At 34.1% G+C, this 19,821-nt stretch overlaps 2 long non-coding RNA genes across 2 annotated transcripts in view, besides 2 other annotated features; both read right to left on the minus strand.

Moving 5' to 3' along the window:
• Positions 1-19,821, minus strand: part of LINC00375 (long intergenic non-protein coding RNA 375) — an 82,971-nt gene that overhangs the window by 31,686 nt on the left and 31,464 nt on the right. The window lies entirely within an intron of this gene.
• Positions 11,319-11,819: an enhancer, noted in NCBI's record as "H3K4me1 hESC enhancer chr13:85682226-85682726 (GRCh37/hg19 assembly coordinates)". NCBI's record gives its function as "activates a minimal SCP1, AML or CMV promoter by ChIP-STARR-seq in naive and primed H9 embryonic stem cells {active_cell/tissue: H9 hESC(naive and primed)}" and the evidence as "EXISTENCE:reporter gene assay evidence [ECO:0000049][PMID:30033119]".
• Positions 11,820-12,320: an enhancer, noted in NCBI's record as "H3K4me1 hESC enhancer chr13:85682727-85683227 (GRCh37/hg19 assembly coordinates)". NCBI's record gives its function as "activates a minimal SCP1, AML or CMV promoter by ChIP-STARR-seq in naive and primed H9 embryonic stem cells {active_cell/tissue: H9 hESC(naive and primed)}" and the evidence as "EXISTENCE:reporter gene assay evidence [ECO:0000049][PMID:30033119]".
• Positions 15,024-19,821, minus strand: part of LOC105370291 (uncharacterized) — a 93,686-nt gene continuing 88,888 nt past the window's right edge. The window contains exons 4-5 of the long non-coding RNA XR_002957485.2: positions 18,379-18,527; positions 15,024-16,213 (exon numbers count right to left, since the gene is read on the minus strand). This is a non-coding gene — a long non-coding RNA (uncharacterized LOC105370291). The remainder of the gene's footprint in view (positions 16,214-18,378; positions 18,528-19,821) is intronic.

A 19,821-nucleotide genomic window follows, 5' to 3' on the forward strand; every position in this document is an offset into this window, starting at 1 on the left:
ATTTTCAGTTTAAAAATTTTCACTTGACCAAGAAGCTTCTGTAATTTCCTTCGATCATTTAACCATAAGTCTCATATTGCAAAAAAATCAGATGCAGAATCTGTCCCTTCAAATTGCCGTTTAAAGCCTAGATTAATTTTGCAGCTTCACAATAAATACTATGTGACCATCAAGGTATTAATTGGAACAACATTGAACACGGAGAATTGGAATTGCATTTTCAGTGAAAATTGGGAACACTATGAATAAAGCAAACTAAAGAATCCTTCTGAACCTTTTGTTGACAACAAAAACGGATCTGTTCCCCTTGTCTTATGCACCCATTATAATTTTATTTGAAACAACACATATCTTTATCCAAATCCAAGAGTATTACCTTGCAGTAGGAATTCTACACCCTCTGTCATGGTTGCATTGAGACAAATGTCCTGACCTATTAAAAGAGTTAGATAAGAGTATGTCCCAGGGGAACAGAACAAAGTCTGGCACCAAAGTAGAAGAAAGAGGCTCAGGCTAAGGAGGAAATAAGTCAAACTTAGATGGAACTATTTTTTTATATGGAAGTACTTAAAATTACTCTTTAAACACATAAATTCAAGAGTGGGAATGGTGCAAATTGTTTGCTAAAGTGAATGATTAGAGTGTGTATTTCATACCTATGCTAAATGAAGTTGAGATGCCAGATATTATTTGTTGAAAATTAGAAGGAGTCTAAGACTTAAGAAGATAGAAGTAGTGAAGGACTTTTACCAAATACAAATCAACAACTTACCTCAAAATATCTGTGAAGGTGTCAGATGACACCCCGTTTCACTATGTAATGACAAATGTATTGGTGTGAAGAAAACTAGTGTCTATGAAGAGTTCTCTAGTAATTTCTTCTTTAAGTCATGGATGAAAATGGAGGATTCTGCCATTAAAATTGTTTTAAAAATTCCAGAAATAATAATGGAAACACATTGTGGCAAAGGACAAATGACAGCAGTTAATTATAAGTGGCAAGGTAGCCTATGTGGTTAGGCTTTGTTTCCCTACCGAGATCTCATCTTGTATTGTAATGCCTTAATCCCCATAATCCCCATTTGTCAAGGGAAAACCCAGGTGGAGGTAACTGAATCATGAGGGCAGTTTCCCCCATGGTGTTTTCATAATACTGAGTGAGTTCTCATTAGATCTGATGGTTTTATAAGGGGCTGTTTCTTTTTCATCTGGCACTCTTCCTGCCACCTTCTGAAGAAGGTACCTTGCTTCCCCTTCATCTTCTGCCATGATTGTCAGTTTCCTGAGGCCTCCCCAGCCATGCTGAACTGTGAGTCAATTAAACTTCTTTCCTTTATACATTACCCAGTTTCAGGCAGCTGTTCATAGCAGTATGAAAGCAAACTAATACAGTAAATTGGTACCGCAGAGAGTAGGGTGCTGCTATAAAGATACCTAGAAAGGTCACAGCGACTTTGGAACTGGGTAACAGGCAGAGGTTGAGAACAGTTTGGAGGGCTCAGAAGACAGGAAAATGTAGAAAAGTTTGGAACTTCCTAGAGACTTGTTGAATGGCTTTGACCAAAATGCTGATGGTGATATGGAAAATGAATCCAGGTTGAGGTGTTCTCAAATGGAGATGATGAACTTGTCAGGAACTGGAACAAAGGTGACTCTTGCTATGCTTTAGCAAAAAGACAGGTGGCATTTTGCCCCTGCCCTGGAGATCTGTGGACATTTGAACTTGAGAGAGATGATTTACGGTATCTGGTGGAAGAACTTTCTAAGAAGCAAAGCATCCAAGAAGTGTCTTGGGTGCTCTTAAAAGCATTCAGTTTTATGCATTCACAAAGAGATGGTTTGGAATTGGAATGTATGTTTAAAAGGAAGCAGAGCATAAAGTTTGGAAAATTTTCAGTCTGACAATGAAATAGAAAAGAAAACCCCATTTTCTGAGGAGAAATTCAAGCAGGCTACAGAAATCTGCAAAAGTAACAAGGAGCCAAAACCTCTTTCCTTTATAAATTATCCAGTCTCAGTCAGTTCTTTATAGCATAAAATCAATCAATCAATCAATCAATCCAAACTAAAACAGTGGTCCTAGACCACTTAATAGAAAGAAGAACTAGAGTGGTAATCAGAATGTTTTAACTAAATGGCTTCTTTTTGGTAATGAACTGATAATAGAGACCCTGGAAATGAAATACATAATATATTTTATTGACACCATAGAAAATAATATTGAGTTGTAAAAAAAAGTCCTCACTTGAGTCTACATGGAAATATTAACACTTAAGATAACTAATTCTATAGATGCTTATATCTCCTTTATAATCCCAAATAAAATAATGAAAATTAAATTAAAAATAATAACCCAGAAGAATAATGAAGAACAAGAGATATGATAATAGCAACAAAATTTGAAAGTTGGTTAGTAGATGATTAAGACAGTGTTATCATAGTAGTGGATAAAGCTGCAAGCCCAATTTACAATAAAGTATCCTCAGAAGGCTCCAGAAACAACACAGACAGTTATCTCTGCCATTGGTCTGAGGGAACTGTGTTAAGTAAGGAGACTTGAGTGATTTTTGATTAAAAAGAAGTTAGATTCATGTGTTCCCTTTCCAGTTTATGACACTGGATGACTATATCCCACTACAGTATTCTGGAAAGTTACTTTCTAAATTATGATTCATCACATAAAAGGGAACTTCCATAAGATTATCAGTAAACTTATCAGCAAACACATTGTAGGCCAGAAGGGAGTGAAATAATATATTCAAAAAGCTGTTAGAAAAAAAATAAACCTGTCAAAACATAATATTGTATCTGACAAGGCGCGGTGGCTCATGACTGTAATCTCAGCACTTTAGGAGGCCGAGGCAGGTGGATCACCTGAGATCAGGAGTTTGAGACCAGCCTGGCCAACATGGTGAAACCCTGTCTCTACTAAAAGTATAAAAAAGAAAAAAATTAGCTGGGTGTGGTGGTGGGCACCTGTAATCCCAGCTACTCGGGAGGCTGAGGCAGGAGAATGGCATGAACCTGGGAGGCGGAGCTTGCAGTGAGCTGTGATCAGGCCGCTGCACTCCAGCCTGGGCAACAAAGCGAGACTCGGTCTCAAAAAAAAAAAAAAAACTTAGACTTTTCTACATAATCAAGCCAAAAGTGTTTGTTATCATGTTACCTTCTCTAAAAGAAATGTTAAAGGGAGTCTTTCAAGTTGCAATGAAAGTGCAGTGGAGAGCAACATAAAGTCATATGAAATATAAGATTCTCTGGGAAAATTAAACAAATGGAGAAATACAGTAACCTATACTACAGTAATTTTGGTGTATATAATATAAATAGCAAAGCATTAAAAATGAGAAATGTATGAAAGTGAGTACATAAGATATAAAGATGTAATTTTGACATGAATAACATAATATGTGGGGGTACAGCTGTTAAAGGGAAGAGTTTTTGAATGTTGTTTTCAGTTTAAAATATATTGGTATAACTTTAAGATATTTTATGTAATTGCTATGGTAACCACAAAGAAAATGTCTTTGAACATACAGAAGAGGACATGAAAAGGATATCAAAGTACGGCGCTACAAAAAAATCAATGAATCATAAAGGATGACGGTAAGAGATAAAAGGAGATACAAAAAGCTTATAAGATCTACAGAAAACAATTTACAAAATGGCAAGGGTAAGTCTTTCTCTAATAGTAATTAATTTAAATTTAAGTGGATTAGGCTTCCCAAACAAAAATTGTGGATTGGCTGAGTGGATTTCAAAAAATGAAAACAAAAACAGTATCCAAGTATATGTTGTCTACAAGAGACTCATTTTAGATCTAAGGACACACATAGCTTGAAAGCAAAAAGTTGGGAAAAATCGATCTATTTGTATGATAGCCAAAAGATACCAGGAGAAGCTACATCAGACAAAAATAGATTTAAATCAAACATTTTTATAACAGACAAAATGATATTATATAACAATAAAAGAGTTACTTCACCAAGAAGATGCAACAATTATGAATATTTATATACTAGACCTAAACATATGAAACTATTTTGACAGAACTGAAGTTGGAGATACACAGCAGCATACTAATGGTAGGAGATTTTAATACTACACTTTCAATAGCAGATAAATAAAACAGAAGATAAAGAAAAAAATAGGGGAATTTGGCTGGGTGCGGTGGCTCACACCTGTAATCCCAGCAATTTGGGAGGGCAAGATGGGTGGATCACGAGGTCAGGAGTTCAAGACTGGCCTGTCCAAGATACTGAAACCCCGTCTTTACTAAAAACACAAAAAAATTAGGCGGGCGTGGTGGTGCATGCCTGTAATCCCAGCTACTCGGGAGGCTGATGCAGGAGAATCACTTGAACCCAGGTGGCAGAAGTTGCGGTGAACCAAGATCGCACCACTGCACTCCAACCTAGGCGACAGAGCAAGACTCTATCTCAAAAAAAAAAATAAATAAATAAATAAATAAATAAATAAAAATTAGAAAAAGAAAAAAATAGGGAAATTGAACAATACTACAGTCAAATTGGATGTAACACAGATACACACAACACTCCTCTAAACACCACCAAAATAGACATTCTTCTCAAGTGCCTATGGAACAATCTTCAGGAGAGAGCACATGTTAGGCTACAACACAAGTCTTCACAAATTCAAAAGAAATTGAAATCATATAAAGTATTTTTGACAATAACTATAAAATAAAACTAAAAGTCAATATTATAAAGAAAATGGGAAAATCCACAAATACGTAGAAATTAAACAACATACTCTTCAATGACCAAAAAGTCAAGGAAAAAGACACAAGGAAAGTTGTAAAATACATCGATTATTCTATCTTCTTGGTGAATTAGCCAAATGAGAAGGAAAATGCAACATAGCAAATTATGGAATGAAGTAAAAATAGTACTAAGAGGAAAGTTTATAACTGTGAATGTATACAAAAAGGGAGCTAATATCAATAACCTAAATTTACTCCTTAAGAAACTAGAAAAAGAGGAATAAACTGAACCCAAAACTTCCAAAAATCAGAAGGAAGGGAACAATAAAGAACAGAGATTAACAAAATTGAGAGTAGAAAAACAATTAAAAATTCAATGACACTAAGAGTTTTTAAAAATATAAACATAATTGACAAACCCTTAATTATATTAACTAAGAAAAAAAGAGAGAAGACTCAAAAAAAAAAAAAACCTCAGAAATGAAAGAGGAGATAATATAACAGATGCCACCAAAATAAAATGGACAATCGGAGAATGTCATAAACAATTGTATGCCAATAATTTGAATAGCCTAAAAGAAATGAGTATATTCCTAGAAACAGTCAACCTACCAAGACTGCATCAAGAAGAAATAAAAAATCTGGACAGACTAATAATGTGTAAGGAGATTGAATCAATGGCCAAAGATCTCCCTACAAAGAAAAGCTAGGACCAGATGGCTCTACTGAATAATTTTATCAAACATTTAAGGAAGAATTAACACCAATTCTCCTCAAACTCTTTAACAAGTTTAAACAGAAACACTAGCAAGTTTGTTATATAAGGTCAGAATTACCTTGATACCAAAGCCCAAGATGCTGCAAGCAAAGAAATCTAGAGACCAATATTCCTTAGAAATACTGATGCAAAAATCCTCAATAAAATGTTAGCAAGCCCAATTTAGCAGCATATTACATGGATTATACACCATGACCAAGTGGGATTTATTCCTGGAATGCACAGGTGTTTCAAGATACAAAAATCAATCACTGTAATACACACAAACATAATGAAGAAAAAGAATCCGCATCATAATGTCAATTAATGCAGAAAAAGCATTTGACAAAATTCAACACCCTTTCATGATAAAAACCAACTACAGATAACTGGAAACAATTTCAACAGGATGAAGGCCATTTATGAAAAACCCACAACCGTCATACTCAATGGGAAAGACTGAAGGATTTTCCTCCAACATTAGGTACAAGGCAAGAATTCCCACTCCGCCACTTCTATTCACCATACTATGGGAAATTCTAACCATAACAATTAGACAAGAAAAAGAAATAAAAGACATCTAAACTGGAAAGGAAGAAGTAAAATTATCTCTGTTCATAGATAGCACAATCTTATAAGTAGGAAATTAGAAAGAAACACTCCTCCCCAACAATAATGACAACAACAACAACGACAACAACAAAACCTGTTAGAACTAATAAACAAATACAGCAACATTGCCAGGTGCAAAATCAACATGAAGAAATCAGTTGCATTTCTGTACATGAATAGTCATCAATCAGTAAAGGAAATTAACAAAACTATTTTATTGTAATAGAGCAACAGAGAAAAAAAATACTTACATGTAAATCTAACCAAGAAGGTGAAAGACTTGTGTGCTGAAATCTACAAAATATTTTTAAAAGAAATTACAGAAGCCACAAATATATAGAAAGATATACCAGGTTCATGGCTTGGAACACTAACATAGTTAAGATGTCCATAGTATCCAAAGCAATCTACAGAGTCAATACAACCTCAATCAATTTCTCAACAGCAATTTTTTGCAAAAAAGGAAAAAGTTAACCAAATATTTATTTGGAATTTTGTGGGGCCCAAATTAGCCAAAACAAGAAAAAGAGTAACTAAGCTGGAGTGCTCATATTTCCTGATTTCAAAACATATTATGAAGCTGCAGTAATCAAAAAGGTATTGTACTGACATAAAGACAAATAGACCAATAGAATAAAACAGAAAGCCCAGAAATAAAGCTACTCGTATGTGGTAAAATGATTTGACAAAGATACCAAGACCATTCAATAGGGAAAGGAAAATCTATTGATGAATTAGTGTTGGAAAAACTGTATACTACATGTAAAAGAATGAAGTTGGACTCTTCCTTCACATCATATACCAAATTTAATTCAAAATAAATTAAAACCCTAAACATAAAAATTAAAACTATGAAATTTCTAGGGGAAAAGCTCCTTAACATTAGACTTGGCAGTGAATATATATAGCACCAAAACCTCCGGCAATAAAAATAAAAATAGACAAATGGACCTCCATTAAACTTTTGTGTATCAAATGATAGAATTAACAGAATAAAAGATAATCTATGGAATGAGAGAAAGTATTTACAAATAATATATCTGCTCAGGGACTAATATTCAGAATTTGTTAGAAACAACATCTCAACAATAAAAGACTCAAGTAACCCAATTTAAAAAATGGTGGTTCAAAAACTTGAATAGGCATTTCTCTGAAGATAATATGCAAATGATCAACAAGTATATGAGAAAATGTTCAACATCATTACTCATCAGAGGAATGCAAACCAAAATCACAATGAGATAGCACTTCATATCCATTAGGATATCTACTATAAGAATAAAAAACAAAAACCAAACAAAACAAAAGAAAAATCCAGAAAAAAATCGGCAAGAATGTGGAGCAATTAGTACACTTGTGTACTCTTGGTGAATTGCAAAATGGTGCAACTGCTGTGAAAAACAACATGGAGTTTTCTCAAAATATTTAAAATAGAACTACTATATGAAACAGCAATCTTACTTCTGGGCATATATCCAAAACATTTTTGAAAGCATGGTCTCAAAGTATATTTGCACACCCATATTAATGATAACACTAGTAACAATAGCCAAGTGATAGAAGTAACTCAAATGTTGATTAGCAGATGACTGGATAAACAAAATGTGGTATATGCATGTAACAGAATATTATCAAGCCTTAGAAACAAAGGAAATCTTGTGAGATGCTACAACATGGATGAACCTTAAAAACATTATGCTAAGTGAAGTAAGTAGAACACAAAAAGATAAATACTGTACAATTCCACATATATGAGATATCTAAAGTAGTCAAATATATAGAGACAGAAAGTAGAATGGTGCTTACCAGTGACTGGGGAAAGAGGGGAAAGATGAGTTGTTTATTCTTAACGGGTATAAAGTTTCAGATTTTCAAGCTAAAATAATTGCAGACAACTATTTCACAGTAATTTGCATATACTTAACATTACTGAACTGTGCACTTCAAAAAAGTCAAGATGATACGTATTATGTTATGTATTTTTTAAGCAAATAAAAATTTCTGAAGTGAAATTCTTTACAATTTATTATTTTAAACTCATCTGTACTATCAATTAATCAGCTGAGAGTGTAGAATAAAGGCTTTTTATTATTATTATTACTTTTTTTTTGAGACAGAGTCTCGCTCTGTTGCCCAGGCTGGAGGGCAGTGGCGCGATCTCAGCTCACTGCAAGCTCCACCTCCCGGGTTCACGCCATTCCCCTGCCTCAGCCTCCCGAGTAGCGGGAACTACAGGCGCGCACCACCACACCCATCTAATTTTTTGTATTTTTAGTAGAGACAGGGTTTCACTGTGTTAGCCAAGATGGTCTCGATCTCCTGACCTCGTGATCCACCCGTCTCGGCCTCCCAAAGTGCTGGGATTACAGGTGTGAGCCACCGCGCCCAGTGGAATAAAGGCTTTTTATACATGATCACACACAAATTAATTCAAACAGATCCTTTCAGAGCAAACTCTTGGAAGATTTATTTTCCAAGACAGGCATGAAACAGAATACACAACACCCCAAAATGGAACCTGTAATACAGGAGTTAGAAAATAGGAATCCTCAGACTGATAGAGAAGGTAATATGTCTTTAGGATAGCTATGTACTAAGATTAAAGAGGTCCAAAACTTTGTAATCAAAACCAGAGCATGGCTCACAAGATGTTTCTAGTTCCTCCAACAATGGGCTATGATGAAGAGTTCTAAGATGGGGATTTGAAGTGGTCCAGATTTCTGTGAACATCTAAAATGACAAAGAAAAACTAAGAAATAAAAGTGAGCAATTTTATTTTGAAGGAAAATGAGCTTGACAAAGACAATAAATCTGCATTCACCTTCCCCACAATAAAATCCTTTTAAGAGTGGTAGGAGGAACTTGAATATGAATTCACATGATCAATTTACATACTTACTGCATTAAAAGAAATTAAACTTTGTGACAGCACTTTTGTATAACTAGAATAAAGACAGTAAGAAGAGAAGCAGGCACTCCAAATCAAACACTATATAATTCAACAGAATTATCTGGGCTTTGGCCAAGTAGAACATGAACACAGTATGTTGATCATTTTGTTAGCTTGATTTTGAAAATGTTTCTTTCATCACACTAAGGACCAGCCTGCCTACTAACTTCACAAACATCAGCAGGTACTAACGGTGCTAATGTTTGGCTATTTTTTTTTAATATGCAACCTACAGAGGTTTGCTGTTTTTGTTATTTTCAAGAATGCGTTCTAAAAATATATATTTATCCTATATCCAAAAGTGAAGTAAAGGTGATGGTGAGATGAGATTTGTAAAGAACAAAAGGAGCAAACATCCTGATGTGCATTAAAACCAGTGATTCAGAGTCATTATTTTGTTTGATATTTGCTATAAGAATACAGTAGCTAATACTAAATTCAACTGATTGTGACAGATCCCTTTAGATTAGTTGCATACAGGTTATTTTGAGAGTCATCTCCCTTAAATTTTTTCCTTTAACAACTTTCTTTTTGCCCTTATTTTAACAAGATGGATGGCATATTATGATCTCTTTCCAGTTCCTAAGCTCCAGCAGGAAGCTTGCTTGCAGCTGGAATTAGTAATGTGCTGATGCATCCCAGGACTTTCTTCAGTTACATGTGGCACTTCAAAGGATGTTCAAAAAGACCAATAGAAAGGATCCTGGGACAGCATCAGAATGGCAAAGAGATCAACAAGTGAGGTGCTGTCTTTGAAGAAACACATGTAGCAGTAGACGTCAGAGCTTTGGTACATGTGGTATATTTTACTTGAAAAGTCAACTTAATGTACAAAGAGGAATCTGGGAAGAATTAGAGTCCCAAAGAGCCTGCTTCATTTAGATGGAAAATAATTTTCTTTGTTATTTAAGTGTATACAGCAGAACCCATTATGATATTTACATTTAGGAAGTATAGCACAAAAAAAGAAAGACAAAAAGAGAATAAAGAGAAAGTGATTCTGGAAAAATGGCTGAGAGCATATACTCTTCACTTTTAAATAAATAGGCTCTTTTCATTCCAAAATACAGAAGTGCCAATAATACCAAAAATAGCTTTATTATTTACTTGAAAATAAAGCATTGTATCATAGTCTGTATTCTCTATAATGTCTATCTTATCTTCTGGTAATTATTTAATGGGGAAAAGGTGGATTAATCTTCCTGGGCCACTAACCAGAATTTCACCCACTATAACTAAATTTTTACACGTCTGCACCTCGTTCCTGACTTAGTAATCATACCATGTCGGTAGAAGACCATAACACCAAATCTGCTCAAAAAGAGATGTGTTCAAACCAGTTACCTGGCTTTGGACAATTAAGCAAGTCATTGCTTTTTATCAGTAGATTTGTTTAGATCAAATAGTGTAAACAGTGCCTTTGGAGAAATATTAGCTCAATCTGCGTGAGAGTTCATAAACTGAAAAGTTGTAGTGAAGCATGGACTATGGTACAAAGGATGAACTATGGACTGAAAACTATGTTTTCAGTTTTTTAAAAGATGAAGTACATGACATAGACATATTGATAAAGACAGCACATTAATTTACATTTATTAATAAAACATATATTTATTTTCCCACTATCTACCTTAAAATATAATACATCCTTGTAATCACTCAAGCTGTGCCTGAGTTACTCATCTGTATCTCATCTTCCCTTCCCTCTAAGAAGTAACTATTACTCTCAATTGGTGTTCTTGTGTAACTTTGGTATGCTTTGTAGGCTTGTTATAAATGCATTTATCCCTAAGCAATGCAATGCTACTTTTAAGTTTGCTACAAATATCATATGTCTTCTGATGACTCCATTTCTTCTATTCTGATTCGAAACACTTCCTCAGAAAAAGTCTCACATGTTGTTATATACACACGTGTGTATGTGCATGCATGTGTGTGTGTATTCCTTTTTCAGATCTTAATCTTGTGGCACATTGTTTCTTTCTAAGTTATGAATAGCCTTCCTATTTTCTAGCCTATAATATTTCAACATCTCTAGAATTAAGCCAATTACTACTACTCCAAACACTCACATATTTGGAGTCACATTGTTTTGAGAGCATACTTTGTATGACAAGTGAGAACATTGAGGTAGAGTTGTAATAAATGGTTTGTAAAAACGACACAGACACAGAGTTCTAGTGTTTTGGATACATTGATTCAGCTCACTTTATGACCACCATCACTTCTGTATTATCATCAGCTTTATTTACTATTCTTTCCACTATGAGATTAAGATTTGGGAATATAAGACACAAAGACAAATGTCAAGACAATAATATTTCTCTATGAAATTAAAACCTATTCTATGCTTCTCCCCTGCTTTATATAATATGTTCATGGGGAATCTGGAGTGAATTTGCATATAATATATAATACTTATTTGAGAAATTAATGCCCTCAGAAAAGGAGCCCTCTCATTTTAACCAAATTAAATCATCGATCTTACTGGAGTCTACATCTAAACTTCCTCTCTACAGATACAGTGGAAGAATTATCTTTACTTCTGACACAAGATTTTTTGGTGCCCCTTCGCCAGCCAGAGACTTCAGTGGCTGGCAATGACCCTGCCTGGGCCTCAGTCAGCCCTGGGCTTGCCACAGGAAGCACCATGCCCAGTTGGCCCAAAGCACTGCACCTGGCTTACACTTCTGCCCAGATCCCATGCTTACCACAGAATCTGCACTCAGCCAGCAGCTGGGCCAGGCATGCCCCGACCTGCCTCCGCCCTGTGCACCAGCATCTAGATGAGGGAATCACATGGTGGCTGAACAGGTATGCCAGCACTCCAAAGCTCCAAAGGAGATGTTACAGCATGTTAATAGCCCTTTCAGTCCCACCATTTGCAGCCTGGCTAATGGGAGTGTGCTAATAGCTCTTTCAGTCCTGTGGCCCCCACTCCAGCCTGCAGCTCTGGGGCTGGCCCAGCCTCACTGCAGCTTCCCATTGCATGGGGTGGCTGCCAAGCACCAATGGAGGACAGAGGACTACAGTGTTACTGCCTTTTTCATACCTACATTCTATGGGTCCTGAGTTCTTGTCTGTCATCCAAGAAGAATGAGGTTATGCTGATAGCTGAAGGGTGAACAGGGGAGAGAGTTTTACTGAGCAACAACTCTCAGCAGAGAGGGGATATGGAGAGGGCAATCTCCTACTCCACCTTAAGTCAGGAAGCTGCCCCTGTTGCCTGAAGGCAGGCAATCCCAAAGTGTGGCTGAGTCCAGGGCTTTTATAGGCTCAGAATGGGAGAGTGCATGCTGATTGATAGGTTTGTGAGTATGCAAAAAAGGCTAAAACAAAGGCACCACTCAGAGGTGGGCATGACAGTGTAAAAAAAAACAAAGAAGGGTATGTGCAGGTAAAATTGGTGAAAGGTGGGGATCAATCAGAGGAAAGTGCACCAAATGGGAAGAGAGGTTGTCAATCTGGTCTGTGGATTTATCTGAGATTTGTAGCTTGGCGTTCAGGCTTTAAACTGTCTTTGGGTTGTAGGTGGAGTTTCACAGGGGGCCCATCCCTATCTGCCTAGGGTTTGTCTGCCTTCTGCTGCTATCAGTTCTAAGATCAGTCCCCCACTATAGGCAAAAGTATTTTTTGCTCACATAACATCTTAATTTAGAAAATCCCACTTAGATATTTTAAGTTGATATCTTAAGTGTTTCACTATGGGTTTAAATAGTTGAGAAAGTGATATTTATGAGATATTAACAATATTGATATATTTTTTAAAACTAAATATCTTTTAAAAATGTACAGTGAAATTTCAGTGATATAATTTTATACTAATTATTATGTATTTGAAAACTGTATGAGGCATTTTCTTTAACATTCCTATATTTTGCACCATTTTTCTCATAAAACTTGTATATATACATTTCACTTTCACTTTCTCAATGGAATTCTATACTTTTTCAACAAATTAATTTGTATATGTGTATTTACAAGGAATATGGTATGTGAATATAAAATATTTTCCCATGTAACATATAAGTTGAATGAATATAAGTTGAAAATTTGTGAATTGATTTGTCTTTTTTACCTCAAGATTGAGGTAAAAAGATGTATTGATTTATTCTTATTAACTCACAATTTATCAAAACAGCATAGCTAAATTGCAATTTAGTAAACAGTTGTTAAACATAATATTTTATTGGAAATTCACATTGTAAAAAGATGAATGTGGTTATTATTTTCCAAGTGGTTCATGTTTCATGCATCCTTGAAATAATGTGACACTGCCATTGATAAAACTGTTACAATTTATGATCTGTTTTTCAATATCTATAAATGTTAACAAACTCTATACATGTCACAAACATATTTCTATACACATATACATAATTAAACAAGGGGCTATGTATTATATGAATGTTAGTCAATAATTTAAATACACTTTTTAGTTATACAATAAAATTCACATGGTGATCTATCATCAAATGTTATTTCTCATGTTCTATCAGCTTATGACATAATTAGGTCCTTAATTTTTTTGAATGCAAATAATTGGACACCATTTCACCTCAAAGACTTTTTTTTTTTTTAATGATTAGAATTATCCTCTTTTAGGAATTCTGGAAAATTTCCCAAACTGATTTACTGAGACTTTCAAAATGTTTTTTACATAGCTCTGTCACTCAAAGGTGCATGTTGAAACCAATCAACAATAAATTTTAGTTCAACCGAAATATTTTGTACTACATTATATACTATTAAAATCTTTTTATTAAATATTATTGTATTTTGTGTGCTATAAATATACTTTTATCAAACCTGGAATTTTCTATTTAACCCATTCAACATATGGGCCATAGCTACCAAACCTCAAACACTTCATCTAAAACAAAGCTGCTTTCTAACACAAAATGACTAAATTGATTGATTGATTGATTGATTGATTGGTATATGGTCTTGCTGTTTTGCCCAGGCAAGAGTGTAGTGGTACAATCACAGCTCACTTCAGCCTCAACCTCCTGGACTCAAGTGATACCCCCGTCTCAGCCTCTTGAGTAGCTGGGACAACAGGCACGCACACACCACCATGATCAGCTAATTTTTTTTTCTTTTGTAGAGATGGGGTTCTACCATGTTTCTTAGGTTGGTCTGGAATTCCTGGGCTCAAATTATCCATCTGTCATGCCGTCCCAAAGTGCTGGGATTACAGGAGTCAGCCATCATGCCCAGCCCAATTAATTTATTTTAATATACTTGTTATATTGTGGAGAGGGCAACCCCTACTTTACCCAAAGTCGGGTAGCTGCCCCCGTTGCCCAAAGGCAGGCAATCCCAAAGTGCGACTGAGTCCAGGGCTTTTATAGGCTCGGAATGGGAAAGTGTATGCTGATTGATTGGTTTGTGAGTATGCAAAAAAGGCTAAAACAAAGGCACCACTGAAAGGTGGGCATGACAGTGAAAAAAAAAAAACAATTAAGGAAGGGTAGGCCCATTTTAAAAGGAGCTTATTAAAAACAAGAAATGAATTCTAGAGCAAAAATTATATGATGAATAATTAAAATCTAGCAATATTGAAACCACTTAGATATAATATAAATAATAATTCTAGTAATGTTTTACATAAACCTGAGAAATATTGTTTGACATTATTAAAACAAATAATTTTGCATGATGTGTGCCTAAAATGAGAAAAGAAAGATAGGATTAAAGTCATTGATTGTTTTTCTATATGTATATATTTGTGCACACATCATTACTTGAGCATATATTTAATTTGTTTCTAATTTTGGAAGTAATTGAATAGTAGGCAAAAAATCATATTTTTCTATAGATAAAATTAGACTTATAATAAACTTTTCCTGTAGATGTATTGAATGAGAAAGATATATTTAGTTAGGAAACAAATCAATATACTGTTAATCTATAAATGCTTGTGATATTTGTTTCTTAATGAGGTAGAATTTAATAAATATTTTTCCAAGAAAAATAAATTCACTGAAAATAAAATAGACATTTTATTGTTTTGTATAGTATAAAATGCTTTAAATCCCTTAGTGAAAAATATTCAGTGACATCTAAACTTACTACAGTCTTCCCCTCACACACCATACATTGGTAATTGTCCCATGTAGCTTGAAATTTTGGTAGTCTTGAAAACCTTTAGTTATTTCTAAAAAATCAGCATAACTTTTAGATCTTTGGGAGAGTTTTTCTTTCAAGTTAATAACACATTCTAGGGCTGAAAATTGAGAATACATAAAAAGAGTAGGTTTTGCTCGAGCACAGGAATAAAACCATTTTTAACATTCATTGTCCCTTACAGATATTTTTTGTTGCACTAGTCAAACTCTCAAGGAAATATTTCTCAAACATGATTCATATCACACTATCTGACATTTTTCTTCTTAAATTGAAATAGTTGTAAAGGAATCAATAGTAGGAGAATATAAAATATATTTAAGGAAAGTGTTTTCCATTTTATTCCTACCTATATCTTAACTCACAACACCTCAACATGGATGAATACGCCACTTTTCTAAATGCCAGGCTTCACTTTACTAGAGATAGATCAGATAGATGATAGATAGAAAGGTAGATAGATTGGTAGATAGATAGATTAGATAGATAGATAGATAGATAGATAGATAGATAGATAGACAGACAGAGAAAGAGAGAGAGAGAGAAATGTAGATGGAACATGAAGAATGAGAAACTTTAGACTGAAATATTGAATTATCGTTAGATAGCCTTGCTATTTGTTACTCCAGAAGTAATCCACCACAGGATAATGCACTACATTAAGATTTTGAATGATGCCATTCTTTTGGGAACAAAAAAGTGTATCCTGAGTATAGATAAATTTTTCAGCGACATCGCTTTAGAAAAGTTCACATGAAAATTGAGTTGCTGAAAATTGATTCCTTTAAAACTGTCGATGCTAAAATTCTCCTTGGCAATCTTTTAACCACCCAGAGGAAAATGAGTTCCCTAATGTACAAAAGCATACTGAAACCCATCTTTTTGCCACTGTAAGAATTTTCACTTTATCAGATCTCTATGTGTCTTCTGCATCATCCATCCCTTTTCTCTTCTGGCTCATATTAATCAGCATAAATAGATCTTCTAATATAGGAATATAACACGTCTTCCTCAACTTCCAAAACAGAAAAACTGATAAGATCTAAAAAGGAAAAAAAAAAAGCTTTCAAACCAGATCTGAATTAATGCAAAGTCACTTACATTCTTTATCTTACTTAGAATGAATATCTTTACATTTTGTTGCTGAAATATTAATACATTTTATTAGAGTGTTACTTTAGACTCATTAAAGGTGTTTCATGATACACAGCTTATAAAGCGTATTATTAACTTGACACCTGACCAATTCAAGTTTCTGAATTATATCTGTCCCAAAGATTTCAGAAAAGTGTTGTGAAACTGCATTCCATAAAAACTAAGCATACAAACTAAAATACATCTTTTGAGTCCTTATAACACTCTGAATTGAATTATGTTCTCTGTTATTCAAATATTATCTTTTATTTTTTTCCTGCATCCTTCTCTACTTCTACATCCTTCTCTACTTCTCTACTTCTACATCCTTTCCTGCATCCTTTCTCTACTTCTTAATTTTATTTAACTATGCAAGTGTCCAAATTTTGGGTTCTTTTCCCTCAGGTCTTTTTGGGCACAAGTTGTTGTTTGTTTTACATATGTGTGTATATTACACACATTACATATATACACACACAGATGTGTGTACGTACATCTGTGTGTGTATATTACACACATAAATATATGTATGCATATGTATGTATGTACATATGTGTGTATATGCCACAATTTTTCTAATTATTCTTGCCATAATTATTCTAATACATTTTTACATTTTGAATGCAATCAACATGCTCAAAGGTCTCGCCTGACAGTTCAAACTTCTGCTTCGGACTTCCAATATAGTTTTCAAATTTAACAATTCCAAACTGACCCTTTGCATGGCTCTGTTATTCTCTTCACACATTTCATGGTTGGATGTTTGGTTGACCCCATTTTTCAACTTGTGTCTCATTTTCTCAGAAAGGCATTCCCAGACCACCCTAAAAACCCTCTGTCATATTCAAATAGAGCATTCTAAAAACAATCCATTATAGCATTATACTATTTGCATTTATGTTATTTATTTTGATCATGCCTTTATTCCCATGAGTTCAGGAAACATGTCTGTTCTGTTTAATATTACATCTCCTTGATACATTACTAGAAGATAAGGAGGTGTTCTATAAATGTTTCTTAAAGGCTGGGCACAGTGGCTCACACTTGTAATCAATCACAGCACTTTGTGAGGCCGAGGTAGGAGGATCACTTGCTCCCAGGGGTTTGAGACCAGTCTGGGCAAAATGGCAAGACTCTATCTCCACCAAAAAAAAAAAAAAAAAGAAGAAGAAGAAGAAAGAAATATATAAAAGAAAAGAAAATTAGCCAGGCATGGTGGCAGCAGGTGCCTGTAGTCCCAGCTACTCAGGAGGCTGAAGTCAGAGGATAACTTGAGCCCAGAAGGTCAAAGCTGCAGTGATCCATGATCATGCCACTGCACTCCAACCTGGGCAAGAGAGTAAGATTCTGTCTCAAAAAATAAATGAATCTAAAAATAAATAAATGTTGGTTAAATGCTAAATAGTTGTTGAAGAAATGGAAGAAATGTATCAATATAAACAGGACTATCTGGTACCTTTATACTTAAGGAAATATTTCAAAAATAATCATTTTTATAAAACTTAGGATCTTTTACCCTTAAAAAATTCACTTTGCTCATTTTTTTGAATACATTGAATATTCGTAAGACTTTAAAAAATTGTGGGCCTCTAAAAATAATTTTTCTTAGGTGATAACCTCACTAATGCTCTAAAATTTAAGTAAATGTAGAAGACTAATTTTATATTTTGTTATGTAAAATTGACCTTTTATGGCTAATTTCTTCACTTGCTACTTTAAAATCACATAATTAATTTTATTTAATTATAGCAGTTAAATTTAATAGCTAATTATAACATCATATCTTTTCACATTTTTCTACTTAATTGGAAGTAACAACCTTCTTAAGCCTTTGGAGTGGAAACACACACACATTCAAGCAGAAATACACACTTGACTGATGTACTTCTGAAAGCTATTTCTAACAATAAAATAGCACTAAATCTGATAATTTTTTACTTCTGCATGTCATGTCATAGATGTTGAAGATGACTCAGGAAATTGAAATTGCAATTTGACTGAAATGTCCAATTAGATGCAATTAAATCAGAGTGTTTACATCAAAAGACATGAAAAGAGTAGATTCTTTCCTACCTACTCTGCATTCCAGAGAGGATAAGGATATATCAAAACCACTGGTGTATTACAGAGATCTATACATTCTGTATCTTCTCCACAAATTCTTCCTAACATTGTTTTCCATGGAAGACTTTGGCTAAAGAACTCCCCAAAGATGGAATAGCCTTTAAAAAAAGGCAGAGGGTCTGTAAAAATTATTTTTAAAACAGGAAAAATACAAAAATACTAATGAATAATTATTCAGAAGCAATAAGTAATAGACATTTGGAAATTGGAGTTAATAGGTATTTCTGCAAACTCTACATTAAGAGAAATATATTGTTCATGAGTTTTTCTTTTTCATACATTTAGAGTAGTATTTTCTTGTTACATCTTTAATATTAGTATTTTCTGTGCAAACAAATGCTCTTTGAAATGATGGATTTATTTCCTTATGCACTGTACATAGAAATATGCAGAATTTTTATATAGAATATATATTTTAGAAAAATAAAAGTACAGAATGAATATTAAAGTTAATTAGGAAATAAGCTATTTTTTAAAAAGTTTTACTTCTTAATAGGAAAGTAGCTATATTCTAGATTTATTTATATAGTATTAAGTTGATGCAAAAGTAATTGCAGTTTTTGCCATTACTGTCAATGGCAAAAACTGAAATTACTTTTACATAAACATAAAACTTGTCAGCATAGGCTCTATGAACAGTATTATCAGATTAAATGAAATTCTTCATGTATAAGCACAGTGTATGTGTGCGATTTGTTTTTCATTTCTAGCCCAAAGGTTTTTAAATTTTTTTTTTGTAAATAAAAATACCCTGGTTAGATTCATGCTGCAAACCATCCACTGACAAACTACACTTCCCTGGGGCCATAGTCTGAAATATTTAAACTCAATACTTGTATATAAACCAACCACGCTGCCTAGGCCTGTATTCAATAAGTGGTCCATTTTGCTGGTTATATTGCTTGCAATATGCTTTCTTAAATTGGCCATTCCTCTATAGAGCTCCTCAAACATGTTCCAGGAATGCACCCTCAGCAGTAAGGAGGGGGAATGGAAAGCTAGCACAGCACAATATGGTCTACCTCACCTGCTTAGAGTGCAAAGTCAAAACATACTTAGATCTTCATAATTCATTCTTAACATTTATGCACATGTACTCTCTATGTCCTACTTTGTTTTAATGTTCAGTGTTTCTCCCAAAAATCTTTGAGTAAACTTGATGTTCTGAACAGTTATGTCACAGTAAGTTTAATACAATCCCAGTTATTACTATCAGCAACATTTAAAAATGGTTGTGGGGTGGGGGGAGGGGGGAGGGATAGCATTAGGAGATATACCTAATGTTAAATGACCAGTTAATGGGTGCAGGACACCAACATGGCGCATGTATACATATGTAACTAACCTGCAAGTTGTGCACATGTACCCTAAAACTTAAAGTATAATAAAAAA

Source organism: Homo sapiens, chromosome 13 (assembly GCF_000001405.40).
Source record: "Homo sapiens chromosome 13, GRCh38.p14 Primary Assembly".
Classification (NCBI taxonomy): Eukaryota; Metazoa; Chordata; class Mammalia; order Primates; family Hominidae; genus Homo; species Homo sapiens.